The sequence below is a fragment of the Homo sapiens genome, chromosome 2 (genome assembly GCF_000001405.40).
Source record: "Homo sapiens chromosome 2, GRCh38.p14 Primary Assembly".
Lineage (NCBI taxonomy): Eukaryota > Metazoa > Chordata > Mammalia > Primates > Hominidae > Homo > Homo sapiens.
The window spans coordinates 75,645,633-75,671,862 of NC_000002.12; the positions used below are offsets into that span (position 1 = coordinate 75,645,633).

The 26,230-nt window shown below is 37.1% G+C and overlaps 2 protein-coding genes and 1 pseudogene across 8 annotated transcripts in view, besides 3 other annotated features; 1 reads left to right on the forward strand and 2 right to left on the reverse strand.

Moving 5' to 3' along the window:
• Positions 951 to 1,245: an enhancer, noted in NCBI's record as "tiled region #13771; HepG2 Activating non-DNase unmatched - State 1:Tss, and K562 Activating DNase unmatched - State 1:Tss". NCBI's record gives its function as "activates a minimal TATA promoter and a strong SV40 promoter by Sharpr-MPRA in HepG2 and K562 cells {active_cell/tissue: HepG2 | K562}" and the evidence as "EXISTENCE:reporter gene assay evidence [ECO:0000049][PMID:27701403]".
• Positions 951 to 1,380: a biological region, named in NCBI's record as "Sharpr-MPRA regulatory region 13771".
• Positions 1,081 to 1,380: an enhancer, noted in NCBI's record as "active region_16093". NCBI's record gives its function as "activates an Ori minimal core promoter by ATAC-STARR-seq in GM12878 lymphoblastoid cells {active_cell/tissue: GM12878}" and the evidence as "EXISTENCE:reporter gene assay evidence [ECO:0000049][PMID:35858748]".
• On the forward strand, positions 1,151 to 16,574 carry MRPL19 (mitochondrial ribosomal protein L19). The gene is made up of 6 exons (NM_014763.4): positions 1,151 to 1,278; positions 1,470 to 1,587; positions 6,510 to 6,628; positions 6,891 to 7,025; positions 9,104 to 9,285; positions 9,432 to 16,574. Exons 1-6 carry the CDS (start codon positions 1,176 to 1,178, stop codon positions 9,651 to 9,653), a joined length of 879 nt encoding a protein of 292 aa, NP_055578.2. The 5' UTR covers positions 1,151 to 1,175; the 3' UTR covers positions 9,654 to 16,574.
• Positions 4,677 to 6,016, reverse strand: SUPT4H1P1 (SPT4 homolog, DSIF elongation factor subunit pseudogene; annotated as a pseudogene).
• A 498-nt stretch (positions 16,575 to 17,072) lies between the features above and the next one.
• The window catches only part of GCFC2 (GC-rich sequence DNA-binding factor 2), a 50,418-nt gene continuing 41,260 nt past the window's right edge, over positions 17,073 to 26,230 (reverse strand). For all 7 annotated transcript variants that reach the window (XM_047445615.1, XM_011533074.4, NM_001410845.1 and 4 more), the window contains 3 exons: positions 24,506 to 24,652; positions 20,297 to 20,421; positions 17,073 to 19,151 (listed from right to left, as the gene is read on the reverse strand). In XM_047445615.1, coding sequence (XP_047301571.1) covers positions 19,034 to 19,151; positions 20,297 to 20,421; positions 24,506 to 24,652 — 390 coding nt within the window. In that variant the 3' untranslated portion in view covers positions 17,073 to 19,033. The remainder of the gene's footprint in view (positions 19,152 to 20,296; positions 20,422 to 24,505; positions 24,653 to 26,230) is intronic.

A 26,230-nucleotide genomic window follows, 5' to 3' on the forward strand; every position in this document is an offset into this window, starting at 1 on the left:
GTTCAAGCGATTCTCCTGCCTTAGCCTCCCAAGTAGCTGGGATTACAGGAGCCTGCCACCACACCTGGATCATTTTTTTTATTTTTGGTAGAAACGGGGTTTCACTATGTTGGCCAGGCTAGTCTCAAACTCCTGACCTCAGGCGATCTGCCCGCCTCGGCCTCCCAAAATGCTGGGGTTAAAGGCGTGAGCCACTGCGCCCGGCTGTGTGTTTGTTTCTTAGAGATACGGTCTCACTATATTGCCCAGGCTGGTTTCCAACTCATGAGCTCAAGGGACCCTCCTGTCTCGGCCTCCCACAGTGCTGGGATTACAGGCATGCCTGGCCACGCCCAGTCATTTTCCAAATTTCTTAACAAGACTTACAATTTACCTTTTCCAGCTTTACTTCTCCCACCTATCCATACCCACAGTTGCCCAGCCCAAATTCATTTGGGTTCCTCAAAGGGTTAATGCTTTGTGTAGTCTCAAGGACTATGGGCCAGCAGTTCTGTCAGGAACTATTCTATTCTCTTTTCTGTGCATTCAGCAAAGAATTAGAAAAATTAGCTGGGCGTGATGGTGCGAGACTGTAGTCTTGGCTACTCGGGAGGCTGAGGTGAGAGGATCTCCTGACATCAGGAGTTGGAGGCTGCAGAGCCATGATCGCGCCACTGCACTCCAGCCTGGGTAACAGAGGAAGACCTTGTCTCAACAAAACAAAAGATGTTAGTGAGGGCCCAGGTAGGTGCTAGGTGCTGGGATAACATGGTGAGCAAAAAGAAGACTTTATCCCTTCCCTTGCCTCATTATAGTATAATGGCAGATTTAAATACTAATCTAATAATTACACAAGAAAGAATTGCAAATGAGATCAGAGCTGCCAATCGAAGGCACCCAGTGGGAAAGACGGCCTACAATGGGATTTTCGCATAGCGAAAGCTTGTCTGAGAAGATAGAGTGGATTCATAGGGGGAGGAAAAAGCTTTCTAGGCTGGGAGAACACCCCTGTGGAGGGGTGTAACTTGGCGCATTACGAGGAACTAGAGAAACGTGCACTTTTCCTAAGACATCAGGAAAGGAGCGAGGAGAGACTTATCCATTTTGTCCCATAGCAGCCGCCATATGGTGGCAGACAGCAACAACCTCGTCGCACTGATTACTGGGAGCTGTAGTCTTGACGTGAGCTAGCTGGCATGGCGGCCTGCATTGCAGCGGGGCACTGGGCTGCAATGGGCCTAGGCCGGAGTTTCCAAGCCGCCAGGACTCTGCTCCCCCCGCCGGCCTCTATCGCCTGCAGTAAGTGGAGCCGGACTTGCGAGCTGGGGCGCGTTAGGGGCCCAGGGTCAGGATGGGGGAGGCGAACCTGGAGATCAGAGGCAACCCCAGCGTTGGTCCCCCGTGGGACGCCGGGTTGGGGGAGATTGCGGGGCTCTGCGGGATCTCAGGGTTGGCACGAGAGTTCTGACCTCCGTCGTCCGCTCCCGCAGGGGTCCACGCGGGGCCTGTCCGGCAGCAGAGCACTGGGCCTTCCGAGCCCGGTGCGTTCCAACCGCCGCCGAAACCGGTCATCGTGGACAAGCACCGCCCCGTGGAACCGGAACGCAGGTGAGGCACTGCCCTGGCGCTAGGCCGGCAACTGGGGTCGGTGCGCGCGTGAGCGCGTTCGCGTTCGAGGTCCCGGCTCTAAGGTGGGGGCTGCACCTCCCCCTGCACGAGCAGGTGTGTAGGATTCAAGAGCCAGCGCACCACACTGTTCTTTCTTTCTCACTTCTCCCCAAGCCAGCATTGAACTTCTTTGCAGTTTTATTGAGTCAGAACTTCAAGTAGGGGTTCCCCATATTTTAAACTCTTTTCTCTGTGGTATTTGTCCTGTACCAGAGTTTTTCTCTGAGGTATATCCTGTTTATACCTGTTTACGTCCAAGAGCTCTTCTTTTCTCTCAAAAGACCCTTAACCCTGGATAGGAATCGATTGGCCAACTTAAAAAATTTGCTATGGTTTAGGTTGGAAGTTTTGGCAGACAAAGCACAGTAAAACTGGCCACTAAATTGTGTCTGAAACTTACTCATCAAAATAGTGTGAATAAAAACTTATATGAATGGTGGTAATCTTGGAGGTACATGTAAATTTAAAGGACTTAAGGTCTGAAAAGAGAGCTATGTAGCAACCTTTTTAAAAAGCCAGTTTTCAGAGGAAAAACCTGATATGATTATAGGCTTTTTGAAAGGGCTGTAGATTATTGATTGGATTACTTCTGGGATTTTTAATTTTTTTATTTTTTAAATTTTTTTTAGACAGAGTCTCTCTCAGTCTCCCAGGCTGGAGTGCAGTGGTGATTTTAGCTCACTGCAGCCTCAAATTTCTGGGCTCAAGTGATCCTCCCGCCTCAGGCTCCAGAGTAGCTGGAACTACTGGTACCACGCCTGGCTTTTTTTTTTCTTTTCTTTTTTTAACATTTAAAATATTCCACGGATTTAAATAGAAGTAAACTTGGAGTTAGAGAACTAAGAGATTCAGAAAATATTTCTTCATAAAACTTTGCTTTTGAGGGTAGAAATGGAATATCTCTTTTAAACAGTGGCATTTAATAGAATTCACTTAAATAGGAATGTAAATTATATGCTCTAGAGAACAATTTGACAGAATTTACTAAGTTTAAGTTGTGTATACCTTCTCACTCAGAAAGCACACAACTTAAACTCCTAACGTGTATGTACAAGGAGACAAGCACGAGAATGAATGTAACAGTATTTTTTGTAACAAAATTTAGAGGCAGCCTAGATATCCATCAGTAGGTGAACAGGCAAATACATTCATATGACAGAATATTGTATAGCAGTGAAAAATGAGTGAATTAGAGCTCACTTTTAAACATGGAAGATTTTCACAAATCTGTGTGTAAAAAAAACCTTTAGAATCATTAATGTAGTAGGATGCTATTTTTATGAAGTTTTAAAACTATAGGCCGGGTGCGGTGGCTCACGACTGTTATCCCAGCACTTTGGGAGGCCGAGGAGGGCAGATCACGAAGTCAGGAGTTCGAGACCAGCCTGGCCAACATGGCGAAACCCCCATTTCTACTAAAAGTACAAAAAAAAAAAAAAATTAGCCAGGTGTGGTGGCATGTGCCTATAATCCCAGTTACTCGAGAGGCTGAGGCAGAAGAATTGCTTGAACACAGGATGCCGAGGTTGCAGTGAGCCGAGATCGTGCCACTGCACTCCAGCCTGGGCGATAGAGCAAGACTCTGTCTCAGAAAAAAACAAAAACAAAATTATACGAAACAATATATGTTGCCCAGACATACATGCATATGAAAAGTAAAAAGAAATGTAAGGGGGGCCTTCTGAAACTTTGCCAAACAGTCAAACCTAACTTTACCAGTATTGGTACCAGTTGATATTATGTGTCTCCTGATGTGACAGAATAAGTTGTTCACATCATCTCCCTGTAATATTCTTACTAAAATTATTTAACCTTAGTCTAGGCATGTGGAAACAATCCAGAATCCAGAGATGAGATAGTAGGCCTTGACTGTTCAAAAAAGTTAATGTTATAAAAATACAAAGTTGGAAAAAAGTCCTAGTCTGAGAGACTAATGACCAAATATGTGTGAAGCTTGATTGTATTTTGAATTGGGCAACGAATAGATGTAAAATACCTTCCCAGGATAATGACATACATTTGAGTATGAACTCTGTATTAGACCAAGCTTGTCCAACCCACAGCCCAGGACAGCTTTAAATGTGGCCCAACACAAATCTGTAAACTTTCTTAAAACATATGAGATTTTTTTTGTGCCTTTTTTTTTTAAGCTTACCAGCTATTGTTGGTGTCTTTTATGTGTGGCTCAAGATAATTCCTCCAGTGTGTCCCAGGGAAGCCAGATGATTGGATACCTTTGTATTAGATTATGTTATCAAATTAATGCTGACTTTTATAGGTGTCAGAAGGGTATCGTGATAATATAGGAGCAAGTCCTTATTCTTAGCATAAGCCTTCTAAATTATTGAGGGATGAAATGCCTTGCTGTTCCATTTTTTTGAGACAGAGCCTTGCTTTGTCATCCAGGCTGGAGTGCAGTGGCATGATCTTGGCTCTGCAACTCCTACTCCTGGGCCCCTCCCTACTCAGTCTCCCAAGTGGCTGGGACTACAGGTGCCCGCCACCATGCCTGGCTATTTTAAAAATTTTTTTGTTGTAGAATGAGGTCTCACTATGTTGCCTAGGCTGGTCTGGAACTCCTGGGCTCAAACGATCTACCCTCCTCGGCCTCCCAAGTGTTGGGATAACAGACGTAAGCTACCACACCTGGCTGACATTTTCAAATGGTTCAGAAAAAAATGATATGTGTATATAAAGCAAATATAGCAAAATTTTAGCAGTTGGTAAAAGTGGATGAAAGATCTACAGGTGTTCATTGTATTACTATTTTTTGGTAGGCTTTAAAATTTTCAAAGTAGAAAATTGAGGAAGAGAAAGAAATTCATGGGAATAATCACCAAATTTAGGATAGTAATGAACTATCCTAAATACACAGGGGCTTCCACAATATTGATAATTTATTTCTTGAGGTGGGTGGTAAAGACATGAATATTCATTGTACTGTCATTTATACTTTTTATGTAGATTAAATATTTCATAATGAGCTTAAAATCAGTTAAAGAAGAAAAAAAGAAGATTATTATTTTTTAAGCAAAAGGATTTCACCTTTGTAAGACTTACACAATTTTCACATAGCTTCATTTCTACAATCACAACAATCCTGAGGTAAACAGGCAGGGTCTAATCATTCTCTTTTTACAGAGGGAGAACCAGCAACTTAGGGAAATCAAAACGGGGACACTAACAGGATTTCTGTGGAAATTTAAGTAAATGAGAATTTATGGTGAATTTTTTATTCTAAAACGAATACCTCACCTTGGCCAAAATGGGACATTACCCAAGGTCCCCTACTAGGCCAGAGGAGAAAAGGAAGGACTTACCTCCTACAGAGGCACAAACAAGGCAGACTAGGACCCAGCAGTTGCCTAAGGCCCAAGGGTCTCCAGTTAGGAGAATGTGAAATGCAGGGATGTGAGACTGGCCTAAGGTATAGGAAGAGCGGTAAACAGAAGAGAAGAGACGAGGAGGGGGAAAAGCAAGAATTATTAAACGTGGTCAAGGAGCGAAGAGCACTATGAAGCCTCAGGATTTCTTCAAGGGATACTGCTGTGCCAGGTCTAGAGGGCAGAAAGATACAACCACGAGACCCCAGGACTACCAAGCTGATGGGATTACCTAGCCTCTGGACAGCACCTTCTGATTGGAAGCAAGGAAGCACACTAGAAAGGCTGCAGTACAGAAGGCTCAGAGACAGTCAGTAGGGAGTAGAAGGGCCTCTGCTGTTCTGGGAAGATTCTTACAGCATAAACAAGCTCTTACTGTGCCTAAGAGAAAGGGAGAGGGAGGCAAGGAATGTATCATGGCCTTAAGAACTTTCTAGAGGTTCATATTTATTGGCATTTGACCTAGAGTCCTTGCCATGGGCAAGGTGCATCCCTGGGCCATGGATAGGAAAATCAGCATCCTACTTTCTCTTCAGTTCGATCTGTTAATCCACCAACCCAAATCCCTCCCACCCGCACCTGTCATCCAAGGAAGAGAAAATGGTTCAGGGACACGATGTGCTGCAGCTGTGTCTCTGGATTTGTAGGTCTCTCCTCGACTTTTCAGCTCCTACACGATTCCTTGGGGCAGGTGACCAGTGAATGACACCGCATATGTACCTGGCTTAAAGTTACTGACTCGCTGCCACTTGGAGACCTAGCTGTCCTCTGGACTCATCATTGCAATGATTCCATCAAAGGAAGAGCTAGTGCAGTCATATACCATCTCAGTTACTCTTCGTCTGTAGATAGGTGTTACAGTTGTCAGAACCTTCATATTCAAACTGGTCTATAGTCTTGACCAGCAAACACAGCCAACAAGCCTGCAGATGCCCCAGGTCCTTCAGCACCATCTCCAGGGCCATCTTCTCTGATCAGGAAGATCATTTTAAAAGTCAATTTATAATTAGTGATTTATATGTTGATGTCTTTTCTGACATAATTTATTATAGCATGTATAGCTCAGTGTGAGGCCTGTAGTAATGGTTATAGGCTTTGGAGACTGACCAACATACCTACATTTAAATCTTGATTTGACAGATTTATAGCTAATGTAGCAATGGGTTAGTTATTTACCTTTTTCAAGCTTCAGTTTCTTGCTCTGTAAAAAGGAGATGACACCAAACCCACATGGTTGCTAGAAGGATTAATTTATGCTATAGATGTTTCATAAAGCTTTTAACAAAATACCAGGTGAGTACTCAGGAATTGTTAGCTATTTTCATGAGCATTAACAATTTTAGAAATAAGATTGACTTTTATTTAGACAATGAAGAATAAAATACATCAATATCATATTTAATTTCTTTGAAAAGCAACAATTTTTCTTCTAGCAGCCTTTTGAGTTTACTTTTAATTATTTATTTGTATTTTTTACAGGTTCTTGAGTCCTGAATTCATTCCTCGAAGGGGAAGAACAGATCCTCTGAAATTTCAAATAGAAAGAAAAGATATGTTAGAAAGGAGAAAAGTACTCCACATTCCAGAGTTCTATGTTGGTCAGTAAGAGCTGTATGTTTTTATTATTAGTAATTAGGATGGCTAGTTTGTGATTGGATGGTTAGTTTTCTTAAAAAGCAAAAGAAGATTGTTTTTTACATATCTGGGTTATGCTCATATGAAGTATTTATTCCTACATTAAAACATTTAGGAAGTTAAGTTATCTAGAAATGCTATTTGTTTGTTTCTGCATCTTATATAAAGTTTACTTCTCAGCTGGGTGTGCTGAAAAAAAAGTTCACTTCTCTTTTGAATTTGTAGGAAGTATTCTTCGTGTTACTACAGCTGACCCATATGCCAGTGGAAAAATCAGCCAGTTTCTGGGGATTTGCATTCAGAGATCAGGAAGAGGACTTGGAGCTACTTTCATCCTTAGGAATGTTATCGAAGGACAAGGTAAGTTTTATTTCATCATTTTCATTGTCTAGAAAATGTTATCTCAGGATTCCTTTTTGTTTCTGCATCCTGGGATAAGAAATCTGAAATTTGAAAGTAAAAGGAGACTCTGAGGGAAGATGTGGAGCCTGTGGCTTTAGAATGGATTGAGATTTGAAGTTAATGATTAAATATGGTTGATGGACTTCTTTCTCTTGAAGGCTTCTTATGTTATTGGAACAACAGTCATTAGAAGTAGACTTTGCAAACCATGGCAACATCAAAGAGGGGAATAAATTACTATAAAGCAGTATGGGGATATTTGTTTTAGGAGCAAATAACCCATGAGTAAAACTTTAAGACAAACCTTTAATGTCTTCATGAATTACTTGCTCCTAAAATGAATACCCACATTTTACTTTATGTTATGACACAAAACAAAATTATCACTGTCTTATATGACTTGGGAGGAATTTTAAAAAGGCAAAATTGTGTTTATATACTATGCCTAATAGAGGAACAAGGAGTAAAACTCTAGCAAGATTATTAATTAAAATGGCAGGAACAATTACGTTTATCAAGTTGTGTGCTTCATGAAGTTCCAACAACAAAGTATTCTTATTTTCAAAGAAATTGAAAATGTGAAAGCAGTTGCTGTCTTGCTTATTCTGTAATGACAGTGGGCTGTGCGTGCAGGAATTCAGCAGGACTTAATTGATTTGTGCCTTCAATCTGGTCAAATACTTGGAGAGGCCTTGTAATAGAAGTAAATGAGCATAGGAGTGAGTCATTTGATTTTCTTTAAGCATTAAGATAGTAATAGTTTCTACTCTACATGGTTCTAGCCAATCAACTGTGAGATACTGTATTTGAAGTACTGGACACAGAATACTCAAAAAGGATTAGCTCCCTCTTGCCATTCTCTGTAGTATGTCTGACTGTTGTAACCTGCCTCAACCTTCCCCATCACTGCTTCCTGCATTAGTGTTTCCTTCTTGTTCGGTGGCTTTGTATACCATCTGTATAATGATAACTTCCAAATTTATAACTCCAGGACTGACCCTTTTTAAGTTCCAGATTTGCAACTATCTGCAACTATCTGATCAACACTCTATTTGGATGTCTTACCAGCATAAGTTGAAAGCAGAACTCTTTATTTCCCCTTGCAAGGTGTTCCATTCACAGTCTTTTCTATTTCCATAAATGGTACCACTCTGCCTACCCACTTACTTTCACACATGCAGTCAATCAAGTTTTCTTGGCACAGTCTCCAAAAAATATATCACAATTTTGCCTGTTCTTCCCTCTACATTGCTATCACCCTCATCCATGTCACCATCATCTGCTTGCATTTGTGCAGTCTCTCTGGTTTACATTTCTGGTGGCTTATTCTGTTCGTGCTGTTGTAACAAAATGCTACAGGCTGGGTAATTTAGAAAGAACAGAAATTTATTTCTCACAGTTCGGGAGGCTGGGAAATCTAAGTTCAAGGTGCTGGCAGGTTTTGTATTTGGTGAGGCCTCCTTCCCTGCATCCAAGATGGTGCCTTGTTGCTGTGTGCTCTGGAAGGGCCAAGCACTGTGCCCTCACATGGTGAAAGGTGGAAGGGCAAAAGGCAAAACTAGTTCTCTCCATCCCTTTAATCCACTAATCCTTAATCAAAGGAGCTTCTAACCAAAGTTGGAACTTAATATTTTACTTCTTTTGTACCATTAGTCTTATTACTCTTAACATGGAAGATTGATTTTTCTTCAAGTAATTGGGAGATAAAAAACGTGACATAGGGAAGAATTCAGACTTTCTCTGAAGTTACTACTATGAGAATTGAAGAGATATGTGACTCAACATATTTCTAGAAGCCATTTTTTTCTTTTTTAGACTATCATTCCAATTCAGACTTTCTAACTTTATATTTAAATGGATTTTAGCTTATTTCTATTTCTTTCAGTAATCTTTATCTTAAAAATTTCAAATTAACGGCACATTTTCTACATGCAAAACTTTGTGCTAATTCCTTTATGAAATGCTTTTACTGCAGTATGAAACATGTATAGGAACGTGGACTTAGATTGTAAGAATATGTTTTCTGTTCTATTTAGGTGTCGAGATTTGCTTTGAACTTTATAATCCTCGGGTCCAGGAGATTCAGGTGGTCAAATTAGAGAAACGGCTGGATGATAGCTTGCTATACTTACGAGATGCCCTTCCTGAATATAGCACTTTTGATGTGAATATGAAGCCAGTAGTACAAGAGCCTAACCAAAAAGTTCCTGTTAATGAGGTATGGGTTATACATTTGAAACTAGAAGTTCAAGTATAAAATAAGAAAGAAAGAATCATCTTAATGAAAACTTCAGAAGAATTTTTGCTCATGCCTATCAGCCTAATTATTGCTTTTTTTTTTTTTTTTTTTTTAATCTTCCTTAGCTGAAAGTAAAAATGAAGCCTAAGCCCTGGTCTAAACGCTGGGAACGTCCAAATTTTAATATTAAAGGAATCAGATTTGATCTTTGTTTAACTGAACAGCAAATGAAAGAAGCTCAGAAGTGGAATCAGCCATGGCTTGAATTTGATATGATGAGGGAATATGATACTTCAAAAATTGAAGCTGCAATATGGAAGGAAATTGAAGCGTCGAAAAGGTCTTGATTCTGAGAATGAATTTGGTTAGTTGCAGAAGATACATTGGCTCTAAGAGGATATATTTTGAGACCAATTTAATTTCATTTATAAGAACATAGTAATTAAGTGAACTAAGCATTCATTGTTTTATTAATACTTTTTTTCTAAAATAAAACTTGTACACCAGTTTATTACTCTAAAAAGAGAATTACACATGCCAAATGGACCAATGTCCATTTGCTTATTGGAGGCAAAGCTACAATAGAAGTCAGAGCATCACCAGAATGGTCTTTAATGAGCATGGAACCTGAGCAAAGGGAATAGGTGGGATGAATTTTTTTTTTAATTGTGAAACAATTCATAAGCACAATATGATTTACAGAATAATAAACATTCATGTACCCACTATCAGGTTAAGAAATAGAACATTTATTAATATGTAGGAATGTTAAGAAATAAAACATTTAATAAGATCTCAGAAGACTCCAGTAAATCTGCAATTGTATCTCTCTCCTTTTTAAATGTAAATATCATCTTGACTTGTTAATTATTCCCTTGCATTTCTTTTAGTTTACTGCCAACACATATATTCTTCAACAATATATTTAATTTTGAAAAACCTGAAAAAAAAAACCTGTTAGCAAGTATAAAGGGGCAGTATTACTATTATTGCATGAAGGCTTCAAGGGAAACGTTACAGTCTTTGGGTCATAGTCTGGCTTCAGCTTCCTCTGAGAGTTTACAGAGGCCAATTTTGAGCAAATTCATGGCTAAGGTTATGAGTGAGTTCTGCTAAACAGAAGGCTCACCACAAGGTATCTGGCAGGATTATACTGGGTAGCTGGATGTTGCAGAAATGTGGTTAGAGGAAGTAAACTGTTTTTTGATGCTCACAGCATGATGAATCAAACTCTGTATCTTAGGATTAGGTTAAAACAATACCTTTGGTATGATATGAGTGTTGTTGCTGATCCATGCAGCATGGATTGGAAAGCTGGGGTATAAGCACACATGCTAAAGAAAAACATGTAATTTGGTCCATACTCACCTGGATATACTGTTCCTCAGGTTAAAAAATACAGTACTATCCTAAATCTTGAAGGCAACTCTCAGCCTATCCATTGAGTTACCTTCAGATCTGCCCTCTGGTTCCTAGCTGTCTTGGGACTAACTTCTTTCCTGCGCTCAGCTGTTTTCTGGATTCCATGTTTTCCATTTTATTGAGTACTAACTTGTTTTGCTGCAGCACATCCTTTGGTAGCTTCTAGAGGAAGTTTGTGTGGAGGTAAAATTTTTGAGACCTTGCATGTCTCATGTTTGATTGATACTTTATACGTTTAGGTAGGAGGTAATTTTCCTTCAGGACTTTAAAAATATTGTTGCTCCATTTTCTTTGTTTCTATTGTTGTATTGAGAAATCCAATGCCATTTTGATTTCCCCATCATAAATTTCATGATGATGTGTCTTGGTGTGGGTCTATATTTATCCATTGTATTGGGTTTTAGGTGAACCCTTCCAGATAGTAACTCATTTCTGTCAGTTCTGGGAAACACTTAGCATTGGTTGATGATTTATTCTCTGCTGCTTTGTTCTCCCAACTATTATTTGGATGTTGGATATCCAGCACTGGGTATCTATTTTCTTACCTCCCTCCCTTGACCCCAGTCTCTGTTTTTTAGCTCTTTAGCTCAATCTTCCAACTCTTTGCTATTGTATTTTAAAATCTTAAGACCCCTTCTTGATTTGTAGAAGTTCCTTTTCTTACAACCAAAAAGCCTTTATCTATGGATTTGTTCACAGATAAGGGGTATTCAATATAGTGTATTTTTTTTTCATTTAAAATTGTTTGCGCATCTATTTCCTCCAAATTTCTTTCTGTATTTATTTTTTGTTGTCTATATTTCAGACTTTTCCAGGATATCTGATAATCTTTGGCTGTCTTCTTATGGTTGAAAGAGGGACTAAAAAGCTTGGAAAGCCTTTGGGTTGTGGGAAGGGGCTGTCTTTAGGATTATCTGAATGGGCTTTTTTGGGAGTCCCCTCCTCCACATGAATATTTTGGTTTTGTCAGATTCCCTAGAATAGAGGCTTCCAATCTCCTTCCTGGAGGGGTCTGTCCAGGAAGGAGATTGTCTAGGGGTCTGTCAGACAGCAGCTTTCAGCTACTTCCTTGATCTTTTTCACTAATGATTATATAGTCATCTAACTACTGTCAACAAGTAATAGATATCCTATCCTTCACTTGTTTAGATTATTTGCTGAGATAACCTCTCAAAAGAACCTCTCAAAATAAAAGGTTAACAAGAGCCTATATCTTATATTTTTCTTCTCTTTATCTTGTTAGAAGATAGCTATTAAAACCTGTTCTTTTTCTGTCTTGATAAACACACTTCAATCTTGGTAGAATGGTAGATGGGACAGTATATTTTAGGACCTAAAGCTCTGCAAATGTATGATCAGCTTGTAAGTACAGGTGCTCAAAAACATGTAAACAATCATGCTTTTTACTCTGTAGGAATATCTTTAAAATTCTTGTGAATTTTTCCCCAGAAGTAAAGCAAATCTTCCCCCAGAAATAAAATTAAATGTGCATAATCTAAAGCTTTTTTTTTTTATTGTGGTAGGATATATATATAAAACATAATTTGCCATTGTAAACATTTTAAATTTACAAGTCAGAGGCATTAATTACATCACAATGTTGTGAAATTATTACTACTATTTCCAAAATTTTCTCATCACCCCAAACTGAAACTCTGTAACTGTTGAGCAATAACCTCATTCCTGTATCTCTCCCAACCCCAGGTAACCTCAAATCTTTCTTTTTATCTTTGAGACAAGGTCTCATTCTATCACTCAGGTAGGAGTGCAGTGGTGTGATCATAGCTCATTGCAGCCTCAAAATCCTGGGCTCAAGCAATCCTCCTTGAGTAGCTAAGACTATAGGCACACATTAACTGCGCCTGGCTGATTTTGTTTTTTGTAGAGATGTGGTCTTGCTATGTTTCCCATGCTGGTCTTGAGTTCCTGGCCTCAAGCAGTCCTTAAGATTCATCCATGTTGTGGCATGTGTCAGAATTTCATTTGTTTTTATGACTAAATAATATTCCATTGTATGTATATACATTTTGTTCATCCATCTTCTGATGAACACTGGGATATGTCTACCTTTTGGCTATTGTGAATAATGCTGCAGTAAACATTGACATAACAAGTATGTATTTGATTGCCTGTTTCTAAGTTCTTTTGGGTATACATCTTGAGTAGAATTGCTAGATAATGTCATGTTTTATTTCTCTTGTGATTTCTTCTTCGATCCCCTGGTTGAGTGTGTTAATTTCTACATGTTTATGAATTTCCCACTGTTTTTTTGTTATTGATTTCCAAGTTCATTCCATTGTGATTAGAGAAGATACTTAGTATGATTTTAATGTTTTTGAGAATTGGTGTGTGGCCTGATAGATGGTCTGTCCTGGAGAATGTTCCTCATACACTTGAGCAAAATATTTATCATGCTATTGTTGACTGTAGTTTTCTATATGTCTCTTAGGTCAAGGTGGTTTACAATGTGTTAAGGTTCTCTTTTTTTAAAAAAATTTTTGCACAGAGTATCTTTTTCTATGTGTTCCATGTATTTGTGTCTTTGGAGCTATAGTCTCTTGTAGACAGCATATCACTATCTTGTTTTGTTTTGTTTTTTCTGTCCATTCTGCCAATTTCTGCCTTTTGATTGGAAAATTTAATCCATTTGCATTTAAAGTAATTAAGGAAGGACTTTCTTCTACCATTTAACACTTCTTCTATATGTCATATACTTTTTTGGCCCCTCATTTCCTCTTTATGGCCTTCTTTTCTGTTTTTTTGTAGTGAACTAGTCTGATTCTCTTTCCACTCCCCTTTGTGTATATTTGTTAGATGTTTTATTTGTGGTTGCTATGGGGATTATAGTTAACATCCTACACTTAAAACAATCTAATTTAAACTGATACCAATTTACCTTCAATAGCATACAAAATCTCTACTCCTGTAAAGCTCTGCCCCTGCCCCCCTTATGTTATTGATGGCACAAATTGCCTAATAAATAATTTATAGTTATTTGTATGAGTTTGTCTTTTAAATCATTTAGGAAATAAAAAGTGGAGTTAGAAAACAGTATGATAGTAATACTGACTTTTATATTTGTCAATATATTTATCTTATTTTGGATCCTTATTTCATTATATAGATTTGAGTTACTGTCTAGTGCCCTTCCATTTCGGCCCAAAGGATTCCCTTATGCATTTCTTGCAGGGCAAGTCTAATTGTAATAAACTCCCTCAGCTTTTGTTTTATCTGAGAATGTCTTGATTTCTCCCTTATTTTTGATGGATAATTTTGCCAGATACATGAATTTTTGGTAACAGTATTTTTCTTTCAGCACTTTAAATATGTCATCCCACTACCTTCTGACTTCATGGTTTCTCATGAGATATTAGATGTTATAAAATTTGAGGATTCCTCATTCTTGATGAGTCAGTTCTGTCTTATTGCTTTTCGGATTTGCTCAGCTTTTGTCTTTTGACAGTTTGATTATAACGCGGCTCAGTGTGGGTCTCTGAGTTTATCCCACTTAGAGTTTGTTGAGTTTCTTGGAGTCATAGATTTATGTCTTTTATCAAATTTTGGACATATTTGGCTATTATTTCTTCAATTTTTTTCACTGCTTCTTTCTTTTCCTTCTGAAATATTCTTAATGTATATGTTGGTCTGTTTGATGCTGTCTCACCAGTTTCTTAGGCTGTGTTCTCTTTTGTTCCTCAGACTTGATTATTGCAGTTGCCCTTCTTTTTATTTTTTTCAAGTTTGTTGATTCTTCTCCCTGTTCAGATCAACTGTTGAACTCCTCTAGTGAATTTATTTCAGTTACTGTACTTTTCAGCTCCAAGATTTATCTTTGGTTCCTTTTTATAACGTCTGTGTCTTTATTGATATTCTCATTTTGTTCATATGTCTCTTTCTTCCTTTAGTTCTTTGTCCATGTTTTCCTTTAGCTCTTTGGGCTTATTTAAGACAATTGTTTAAAGTCTTTGCATAGTAAGTCCAATGTCTGTGTTTCTTCAGGGATGGTTTTCATTATTTTGTTTTCAATGAGCCATACTTTCCTGTGTCTTTGTATGCTGTCTTTTTGTTGTTGAAAACTGTATGTTTGAACATCATAACGTGGTGGCCCTGAAAATCAGATATTCCCCCCTTCCTGAGAGTTAGTTTTATTTTTATTATTGAAGATTGTAGCAGTCTATTGCTACATGTGCAGTCATTTCCAAACTATTTTTGCAAAGACTGTATTCCTTCTGTGTGTCATCACTGAAGTCTCTGTTCCTTAGTTTGTGTTTAATAGTTTGACATAGATTTCCTTGAAAGGAGTTAAAACTAGCAGAAAAATCTCTCTCCCAGTCTTTCCAGTCTTTGTAGATTGGTTCTGTGCTGGGCTTTTCCATTAATACTTAGCCAGGCTTGTACTGAGCCTAACAATCAGGCCCAAAAGCGTAGGGTCTTTGCAGATCTTGTCTGAGCATGCTTCTTGCTGTGTATGCACGTAGTTTTCTAAATCTCCCTGTATGTGCTGTTGAATATTCTAATTTCCCAAAGAAACTCCTTTGCAGCTTTTTCTCACAGAACATAGATGGTTTTTTGGATATCTTGACCATAGTCTTTCGACCCAGGTGTTTGCGGTTGTTAGTTCACCTTACACTTTTTTCAAGCATTGCCTACTGCTTACGATGAGTGCTCTGTCAATCCTTTAAGTAGCCCCAGACAGGCTACCAGAGACTTAAACAAGAATTTGTAAGTTCTGCTCAGCTTCCTCTAGAAATGGGGATCAGGGTCCAAGACAGAATGCAGTTGCTGATTTCAAGACTGCTGCAACACCAGGGAGCTTGTGGGGGAAGGGCAAGCAGAAATGTCACAAAGCTTTCTTGCCATTTTAAAGTTGCCTGTTCTTGACTCAGCATTTGCTTCATTGCTATAAACTTTTTACTGTTTTTCAGAGTTCTGATAAAATTGGCTATGCCTGTTCCTGCTTTAAAAAATATATATATATTTTTTAGGGATTGGGGTCTCACTATACTGACCAGGCTGGTCTTGAACTTCTGGCCTCAAGCCATCCTCTCATTTCAGCTTCCCAAAGTGCTGCAATTACACGCGTGAACCACCACACCCAGCCCCTGCTTGTTTTTCAATGTGCCTACTCCACCATGTTGCTCAAGTATGTATATTTTCTAAACTACCTTGTAGTGTTGTGATGGGAAATAAATCCCTGAGCCTTTTGAATAACTCAGAGAGATCAAAAACTTAGTTTATCCTATTCGAAGGATTAGAAAAATGATATATCTTTCACTTTTTCAGGGATAGGCTCCTCATTAGAAGGCTCCTATGTGCCGATGCTGTACAAGACATTTCATTTCTCTTAATGTTTACAACAAGCTTGTTGCCAAGGCTGATCTTGAACTCCTGGCCTCAAACGATCCTCCCAGCTCAGTCTCACAAAGTGTTGGGATGTCTGGCCAACTAATGACTATCTTAACTCTTGTGTTTCAATGTTTATGCCTTCTTTTATCTTGACTGATTGTATGACTATGTCTTCTAGAACAATGTTGAACAGAAATGGTGAGAGCAGACATCCTTGCTTTAATATTTCACCATTATATATGATGTTAGGTATAGATTTTTCTCACAGATGCCTTTTATCAGATTGAGGAATTTATATTCCTACTTTGCCGAAAGGTTTTTGTAGTATGAGGGGGTGCTGAATTTTGTCAAACACTTTTTCGGTAATAATTGAGATGATTGGTTCTGCAGTCATCGAGATGTGGATTTTCTCCTTTATTCTGTTCGTGAGTGATTACACTGGTTGACTAATGTTAAAACAACCTTACTTTCCAGGAATAAACCCTATTATCTTTTTTATACATTGCTGGATTTGATTTGCTAATTATTTTAAGGACTTTTATTTCTACATTCATGATAGATACTGCTGGTATTTTCTCATGATGTCTTTTGCAGGATTTGTATCATATATGGCATTTCTGAGGTATACCTAAGTATCATTTATTCAAGGACCTAAGAAATGGAAAAATCAATTGAGGTGATTTTTCCATCATGAAAAAAATTTCTTTAAAGTCATCTGTCTGATTCTGTAAAAATTTCACATTCTTTATGTGAACAAAAAGCTGAAAGAAATTCAGGGAAAGAATTAAGATGTGATATCAATTGCCAACCCAATGTTTTGTTCTTGCTAGTTGTGTTCCCCCTCCTTATTCCATCCATTTCATAGTAATAAGAAAAAAAAGAATTTTACATTGAGATTTAGGTAAATTTTTGAATTACAGTATATGATAAAAACCTTAACGTTCAAACTCCAGGTATAATGAAATTTAATTGAAAATTACTATAGCAGTTTAAGTCAATTTGTAGTTTTGAAAGCAGTTTTAATATTTTATCTTCCACAAAAAGGTAGGAAAGTTTCTGTGCTGAACTTAAATATATAAAGGAACACGTCCAACATATTTAGTTAAAAATCCAAAAGTCAGAGGATAATTTCCAAATGTGTACTTAAATAGAAAAAAATTACAAATTTCATGTGCAATAAAGTGTCTGCCACTTACGTAAAAAAAAAAAAAAAACCCAAAACTATGTACACATAGAAACACGTAACATTTTTGTAAATAGAGAAAAGGTCTAAAAGGATAACATTAAAATGAAAACAGCAGTTATCTCTGGGGACAGCGGTTGTGTGGAAATGCTAACTGCTTTTCAACAATAGTTTGCATTTTCTAGATGAGATTCTATCCTTGTATAATTTTGTTACTAATATAAACATCAAAAAATTCTTCATACCAGTGAATCACAAGTCCTCACTGCAACAGACATAACAAATCCAACTCCTAAAATAAATTATATGTAGTTTTGAAGGTAGAGGTGACATAAAAGTAGGCTGTATATTCAAATCCTACAATATATTCAATTTTTTCCAATTATCTTTTGAACAACAATTTGCAAAATATATTTACAGTTTCCCTTAAGTTATTTAATAAGTAGACTTAGAAAAATTACTAGTAAACTAACATTTTTGGAAAATTTTCTTAATTTCTTTTGATTAAATTATCTTGCCTCTGTTTTATTAGACAAATATTTTATCAGAAAATGAATCACATGTTGTGAGTATTTAAAATATCTGTTTCCTTCTTAGTCCTACCACCAATGACAAAAAAACAAAATAGTAACTTGCTAATAAGTAATGACTTAATGCTTCAAAAAACATCAACAAATTTAAAAGAAAGGCCAAACATGGTTGCTCAAGCCTGTAATCCCAGCACTTTGGGAGGTCAAGGTGGGTAGACTGCTTGAGCTCAAGAGTTCGAGACCAGCCTGGGCAATGTCACGAAACCCCATCTCTACAAAAAATTACAAAAATCAGCTGGGCATGGTGGCGCATGCCTATAGTCCCAGCTACTTGGGAGGTTGAAGTGGGAGGATTGCTTGAGCCCAGAAGGCAGAGGTTGCAGTGAGCCGAGATTGTGCCACTACTCTCCAGCCTGGGTGACAGAGCCAGACCCTGTCTCAAAAAATACAATTAAAAAAAAAATAAAAGAAAAATGGCAAATAAGGAAAACTTCTGCCACAAGCATGGGCAAAAAATCAATATCTTTAAAAATATAAAGGTCTTAAAGTCCATAAGAAAAAGATGGATATTTCAGAAATAATTACAAATGGCCAAAACCAATATGTTTACTCTCTAATAGCCAACACAAAATACGCTATTAAAATAAGATTTTTACCTTTCAAATTTTCAATGCATTTTTAAAAAGGATAATAACTACTGCTGGTAGGGATTCATTGGCACTCACTTATGCTTATGTTGGTACATTAAATTGGTACAGATTTCTGAAGGATAATTTGACAATCGGCACATGCCTTAATCATTTAATACTTAGCAAATAATTCACTCCAACTGAGATTTTCATATTGACTTATTTTTAAATAAAGGTAGTTAAAGAGAACTAAAAGATATTATTGTGGTTCAGGACAGAAGACTTAGTAGCATGCTCACTTAAGCTAAAACCTTTAGCAAGGTTTCTCCAGTTCCCCTCTTAAGAAAATTGAAAGACCAGCCAAAAGAATCAAAGGGAAACACGTTGAGCTCTTAAAGCTCCAGTGCATTTAATTCCTTAGAACACCACAGAATCATGGCAGCTTTTCATGATGCCAGAAGGTAAAGCACGGGGGAATACAGAGGTGGAGTCCTGCTTTTTTTCAAATCCTACCTTCTATTACAGGGAATAAAGAAGAGAGAGGCACCAGCTTCTTCTCAAACAAAGGAACTGAGTGTAACTATATTAAAATTTTAGCATTTTCCAATAAAGTTTATTCAATCTTCTTTAATTAGTGATTTAAGATGGTCTAGGTGATGCTCTCCTATGAAGGATTCTGCTTGATTCAAAGCTTTTATTTTCACCAAAATAAGAATTATTTCTTCGACTTCATCCCTGAAAAACAAAACAAATTTCTCCCTTTAAAAATGCAATGTATGAGGGAACAGCGGTCAATTCAGAACCTGATCATCAGTTGTTAATCTAAAACAAAAGCTTTACCTTAAGCCAATATCTAAAGTAGCATAAAACACAGAGAGATGCTGCCATCTCCACTTAATTATAAAGTTCAAATACAGATCATTAGTGGATGTATTCTGGCAAATTTCAATGTGAATTACTGTAAAAGGTAGAAAAGCATATAGTAAGTCTATCAGAAATTTCAGTAGTGCTGCGTTGCTATTAGCTTGTATGAGACATTGTGGTGGAAGCAATGGTGGGAGTATATTCACACATCATGACATTAGCAAATAATACAAATCTGATTTTTTTTTTTTTTAAAGGGACTTGGTCTTGGCTCTGCTGGTCAGACTGGAGTACAGTGGCACAATCATAGCTCACTGCAGCCTCAACCTCTCAGGCTCAAGCAATCTTCCCACCTCTGCATCCTCAGTAGCTGGGACTCAGGCGCATGCCACCATGCCTAGCTAATTTTTAAATTTTTTGTTCTAGAGACAGGGTCTTGCTATGTTTCCCAGGCTGTTCTCAAACTCCTGGGCTCAAGTGATCCTCCTGCCTCAGCCTCCCAAAGTGCTAACATTACAGGCGTGAGCCACCATGCCCGGCCAAATCTGGGCTTAAAAATTTTTTTTGGAGAGGGAGTTAACAGGAATACCACTGTATTTAAGCCCCCAAACAGCTGGTGCTGTGAACGAAACATTCAGAACAGAGAGCTAGCTACTGCTGGATAAATACCAAGCTGGAGACCTGTACTTAACAACTGTTGAGTCTCTAAAAATGGACAGGAAAATTAAAAACACATTTAAAAAGTGCTTAATAAAATGTTTTTGATTTATAGTTTTAATTCTATATTCCCCTGTGCTATAGTTTTTTGAATTTGCTTAATTTGGGGGAGATTTACATTTTAAAATATGGATATGCATAAGCCATCCCAAAGGTAACCATAAAAATATCTACTAACTCTACAAAGTTTTAACAAATTTTTAAAAGTACAGTAAAAATACAAATCTTTCTAAAAGTTGTTGAGAGCATACAGAATCCATGAACTCTCTTTATAGAAGTGAAAATAAAATATGCATTACCTGAATTCACTTCTAGATAATTTATGTGCAGACTGCAATAAAAACTGAATGAAGTTTTCTAGCTGTGGAATAGATGTCCTCATGGCAGAATTTTCAAACCATTTTTCTGGTAGACATGCTGCTACCTGTTAATCAAAACACATGGCTGGTTTACAATGACAGTTATCTAAGAAATCTTGCTAATATAATCTCATAGTGATACTGTAAGCTGAGTATCATTCTCCCCATTTTATAGTTTATGGTTAAATAAAAATTTCTAAAGATTTCCCTTTGTGTCCAAGGCTACATATATTTTGGAATTCATTCTTTAATGCTAAGAACTTAAAATACACTACTCTCTATGAACACTCCCTGGTAGTACTAGTAATTCTTTCTATATTCTTGTATTTGTGAGTCATTAAATCTGTACAAAACATAATTTACAACTAAAAACCAAAAATGTCTAGACACAAAATATTTGGTCAATACAACTCTAAAATACATACATTCACTATTATTTTATAAAGAAATTGGATGGCCTAGCATATGATCTATATGGAGTTAAGGAACCAAATGGGTGATTCTAAGATACAAAGAATGAAAGATAAATTAATTATGTTTTTAATCTTCTATCAGTGTAATACATTGCCTTAATTGTAAAGCAGCAGAATGAATCAATGTAGGTGCATTCAATTTTTCTTTTGGAAATGGAAATTACATTTTATCATTGTCATCCTAAGAGTAATACAAGATTTTGAGAAAAGTTTTGGTAAAAACAGAAAAATGTTAGAAAAAATTTAAAAAGTAAAAAAAAAAAAAACTTCCTCATAGCAGAAACAAGGGTAAAGAAGGGAGGGAAAAGGGGAGAAAGGAAAAAAACTTGATATTGTTCCCGGAGAGAACAAAGTATGGCTGCCTGCTCTTGAGGTCCGAAAACGAGATGCAGACAATTGGGAAAGAAGGGAGGTCAGAGTAACTCACCAGACCAACTCAAAGTTCTAAGCTTTTTTCTAGTGCTTGTATATATTTAAAGCTCCGTGCTACGTGTGGGATTGTAACTGCAAGTGGGAGTGTTGCATTCAATCTCTATCTCATCTTTAGCTAGGGACTAGGGTCTGGAAAGCTTTCTCGAGAGTCTTGGAAAGTTTCTTAATCTTAAGACAGAATGAGGTGTATGTGTAAGAATGCTTTTATTATTCCATCAGATTTCAGGGGCTGAGAAAACCCAGGCAGGTTCTTAATGGGTTGGTTTTTGCATTCCAGTTTTGTACTCAGGCACCAGTTTCTCCAGTTTTTTAATGTTTAGCTTACACTTTCATTAACGTTATAGTAACGGGTTCTTGGAAACTGATCGTTCTGTTTGCTAATGGAAACCTGGCCTGTCACAATATCACACTATTCAAGGAAATTCCTAGATAATCATACAGATTATGCTACATTTGGTAACATCAAGATCAATATAGAAAGCAGAGAGTTGGGGAAAAAATTAAAATGCACCCTATATATTATACAGTATATTAAATAAACGTTCTGGAATGCGCTCTTTCTAAGATTGGTCAGCATTTAAAACATGGTTGAGGAAAAAGAATTCTACTCCTTAATCACCTGTTTCAACTATTCAGGAAAAATACTGACACACTGACTGCCTAAGGCAGAAGATCCTACAAGTTTTGTTATGTAAACTCTTTTTAAAAGTTTTAAAACCACCCTTTACTATTGAATGTCATTTGCACTTGTTTTCCCCTTGTTTTGTATTACAAGTCTCAGTAAAATTCTCATTTAACCATGTAGCTTTTGCGTTAATGATCCCAGCACTAAAAGTCGATTTTCTTGGCCTGGTTTTCTAACCATATGCTGTGGAAAGAATGCTGTGTAAATATATTTCCTCTTCTCCACTTCATAATAGACCCTATGGTCAAAGGGGACTAAACTAAACCTGAACAACATTACATGGATGATGATTTAAATTTTTAATATATAATGCTTAAAACTATGATATAAAAACTATAGCCAGAACAATCATGGTTGGCTACTAATTGATATATAGTTTTATGGCAGACTAGGTTTCCATTAGCAACCAGATGAATCAATTTCCACTAACCCTTTTCTATAATTTTGATGAATGTGTAAGTTAAACATTAAAGAGCTAGAGAAACTGGTGCCTGAGTACAAGAACTGGAATGCGAAAACAAACCCATTAAGACCCTGCCTGAGTTTTCCCAGATCCTAAAGTCTGATCAAATAATGAAAGCATTCTTACACATACTCTTTGTACCAGGGCCCACTTAAGATTAAAAAACTTTCCAAGACTTTAGAGAAAGCTTTACAGACCCCAGACGGTAGTTAGATTGTACAGACTGAATGAAACACTCTCACTTGTAGATGCACTCTCCCATGTAGCATGGAGCTTAGAATGCATATAAGTGCTAAAGAAAACAAAACAAAACAAAACAAAACAAAACAAAAAACCAAATTGTAACTTTCAGTTGGTCTGGTGAGTTGCTACAACCTTTTCCCTGTAACTGGTTGCAAAAATAAGCTCCTTTCTTTCCCAGTCTGTCTGCATCTTGTTATTGGGCTGCAAGAACAAGCAGATGGACCCTATTCTATCTGGGAACAGTTTAGTGTGTATGTGTTTTTAATTATAAAATAATTATTTTCCCATATTCTTAAAAATTCTTCAAAAACATAACTTTTGTGAACCCAAAAGTATCTGAGACAGGTTCTGAGATTTATTTTCCTTTCACATTTTTATCTTATGAGAAGACCATCATGTTTTTAGGGATATGTAGGTGTTTCCAACTATTTTCTATTATAAATAATGCTATAACAATATTCTTTGTACTTAAAATCTATATGTGCATCTCTAATTTTTGACTTAACTTACTTTGGCTAAGTCAAAGAATATAAGCTTTAAAAGTTTTGTATCCATCATGCCAAAATACTCTCCAAAAGAGCTGTATCCCTCCTTCCCCCAGTGCAGGAGACTGTTTTCCAGAACCACTGCACTGCATACAGTGAATGGTGCCCCTGCAATGATGGAACTGTTGTTTTCCTGTGTTTATAACACTGGAAATCGTAAGTAAAATAACAACGCCAAAAAATGTTTGCCAACACAACTGGTCAAGTAAATATCCTTCCTATAAATAATTTCCATTTCTCTGATTATTAGTACTATTAATTATTTTCACATATTTTAAGGTTAGTTTTACATATCCTTTTAGGTGACTTTACTGTTGCACGTGTTTTGGCCATTTTTAGTCAGAACATTTGAATTATTTACTAAATTGTAAAGAGCTTTTTTATTTAATGTGAATATTAACACTTGTTACATGTTAACAACTTTTTATTTCCTAGATTCTTAACTTTTCTAACTTTCTATTATACAAAATTTCAAACACAAACAGCAGTAGAAAGAATAGTATAATGAGCCCAATGAACACATTCCCCAGTTTTAATAATAATCAATTAATCCCAATACCTTTTTGATCCACTAAAGTTTTATATTTTTTCAAATTTATTACTTTTTCTCATAATTTCTTCTTTTGCCTTTAAGTTTAGAAGGAACTCCCTCACTCTCAAATATAGTCATTTACCATCTTAGTATATTTTATAGTTTCATTTTTACATTTTTTAAAATTTTACCTGAAATTTTTTTGGTGTATAGTGAGAGGTGAGGACTTAACATTCTTTTTGTAAACAGCCAGCCATCTAGCATCATTTATTAAGTAATTTTTCCTTTCCCTACTGGGGATATTTCAAACCAGTATACTCTTTCTTAAATACAGAAGAGCGGCTCTGCATTTTAGCTTTGTTAAATTCATTTGTCAATTTTTTTTTTTGAGATGGAGTTTTGCTCTTGTCACCCAGGCTGGAGTGCAATGGCGGCTCACTGCAACGTCTGCCTCCTGGGTTCAGGCGATTCTTCTGCCTCAGCCACCCAAGTAGCTGGGATTACAGGTGTTAGCCACCGCACCTGGCTAATTTTTGTATCTTTAGTAGAGACGGAGTTTCACCATGTTGGTGAGGCTGGTCTCAAACTCCTGACCTCACGCAATCCGCCTGCCTCAGCCTCCCAAAGTGCTGGGATTACAGGCATGAGCCACTGTGCCTGGCCCATTTGTCTATATATGAGTACCACACATTTAATTATTTTGCTAAATAATAGATTTTAATAGCTAAATTTTTTAGAAATGATAAAATTAGAATCAGTCTTCCTTCACAACTTACCTGGTTGCACTTTTTAACCACATCTGGCCCAGGTGTGGCATTGAGAAGTGCTATAATAAGGTAACGATTTAGCAGCTTCCCTAGTCCTAGTTCTTGCAAGGTGTCATCTGTAAGGAGTCCATTCCAAAGAAGAATATTGCGGAAGAGCTAAAATAAAATATCAAGTAAATATGTACCTTTTCTCCAAAGAGAAACTGTAATAGTCTCTAACAAACATGAAGAGTTGGTCAAACTAAAATTCTCACTACAATTAGCCCTGTTGGAACTGTCAATTTTAGAATACAATATCTCTGAATAAATACTTGATTCTTTCCAAACTCCATGTATTTGCTCATCTTATTTTCATTTTCTAGGATAACCATCCCCAAATCTATCTCAAATAACTTCACTAGAGCCTTTCCAGATCAATAATCTTCCTTCCCAATCCATTTTCTCTCAAAGCCGGGGGCCATCAAGTATAAGACCACAGGACCACGTGATTCATAAAGAACTACTGTCAAAACTAGGGCCGCCATTACCAACATGTGACCTTGAGAAGGCAATCAACGCTGAGAGCTTCATTCCTCTGATACATAAAGATTTATAATCACCTTTGAGTTTGAAGATAACTTGGATTAAGTAACCATAATAAATTCTAATAAAATATTGGTTGTCCTTTCCCTCTACTAAATTCAGATCTTTCTGTGAATTTTAAGGTGTTTCTTTTTTTGCAGTACTATATTCATTACTCTGAGTGCTGAACTACATGCTGTTTTACTAAAATGTAATGCTTTTTCACATTTTATCTCATTGTTGATGTTGTTCCCTCTTCCCAGAAAGCCTTTTCCCTGATTCAACCACATGACAAATATTAATTCACACTATTAAAACTACTCTTGGTGAGGTCACCTATATCCTTCTAATTGTCAAATCCAATAAACAGTGTTTCAGTCTTTCTCTTAATACTCTTTGGTGGCATTTAACACTCTTTTCTTCATTCTTGAAAATCTTTCATTTAGCTTCCTTGAGGCCATTCTCTTGTGATCATCCTAAGGCTCATAATTGATTCTACAGATTCCCTGAAGCCTCCATGTTCTCCTCTTCTGTTAGTATTTCCCGAGGTTCTGTCCTTGGCCTACTTCTCATGCTTCATCCAGTCTCCTTACGCAGCTTGCCATTCATGACCATGGCTCCAAATATTACCTACAGGTAGTGGACTCCCAAATCTCTAGCTCAGATCTGTCTCCTGAAATTCAGACTTATGTATCCAACCACCTCCTAGACCTCTGTATCTCTATTTGTCCCACATATATCTTCATTATGTACAAAATAGATCTTATCTTCCCTTGATCAGTTATCGACTCCTTTCAATGCTTCCTCCCAAACATTGTTTGAACCTTCTTCTCCTTCTCATCCCTACTGCCACTGACTTAGCAATAATTTTAAGGCCAGGGGTTAGCCAACTATATAGCTTGTGGGTTAAATCCATCCTGTTGCCTGTTTTTATAGGGTCCGTGAGCTAAGAATGGTTTTAACACTTTTCAAGGACGTTTTAAAACTGTCTTTAAACAAAATATTTTGTACCATGAGGAAATTATATGACATTCAAATTTCAGTGTTCATAAGTTTTATTCAAACAGCCATGTTCATTTGTTTATGTACTATGACTGTTTTTGTGCTACAGCGGCAGAGTTGAGTAATTCGACAGAGACCATGTGACCACAAAGCCTAAAATACTATCTAATT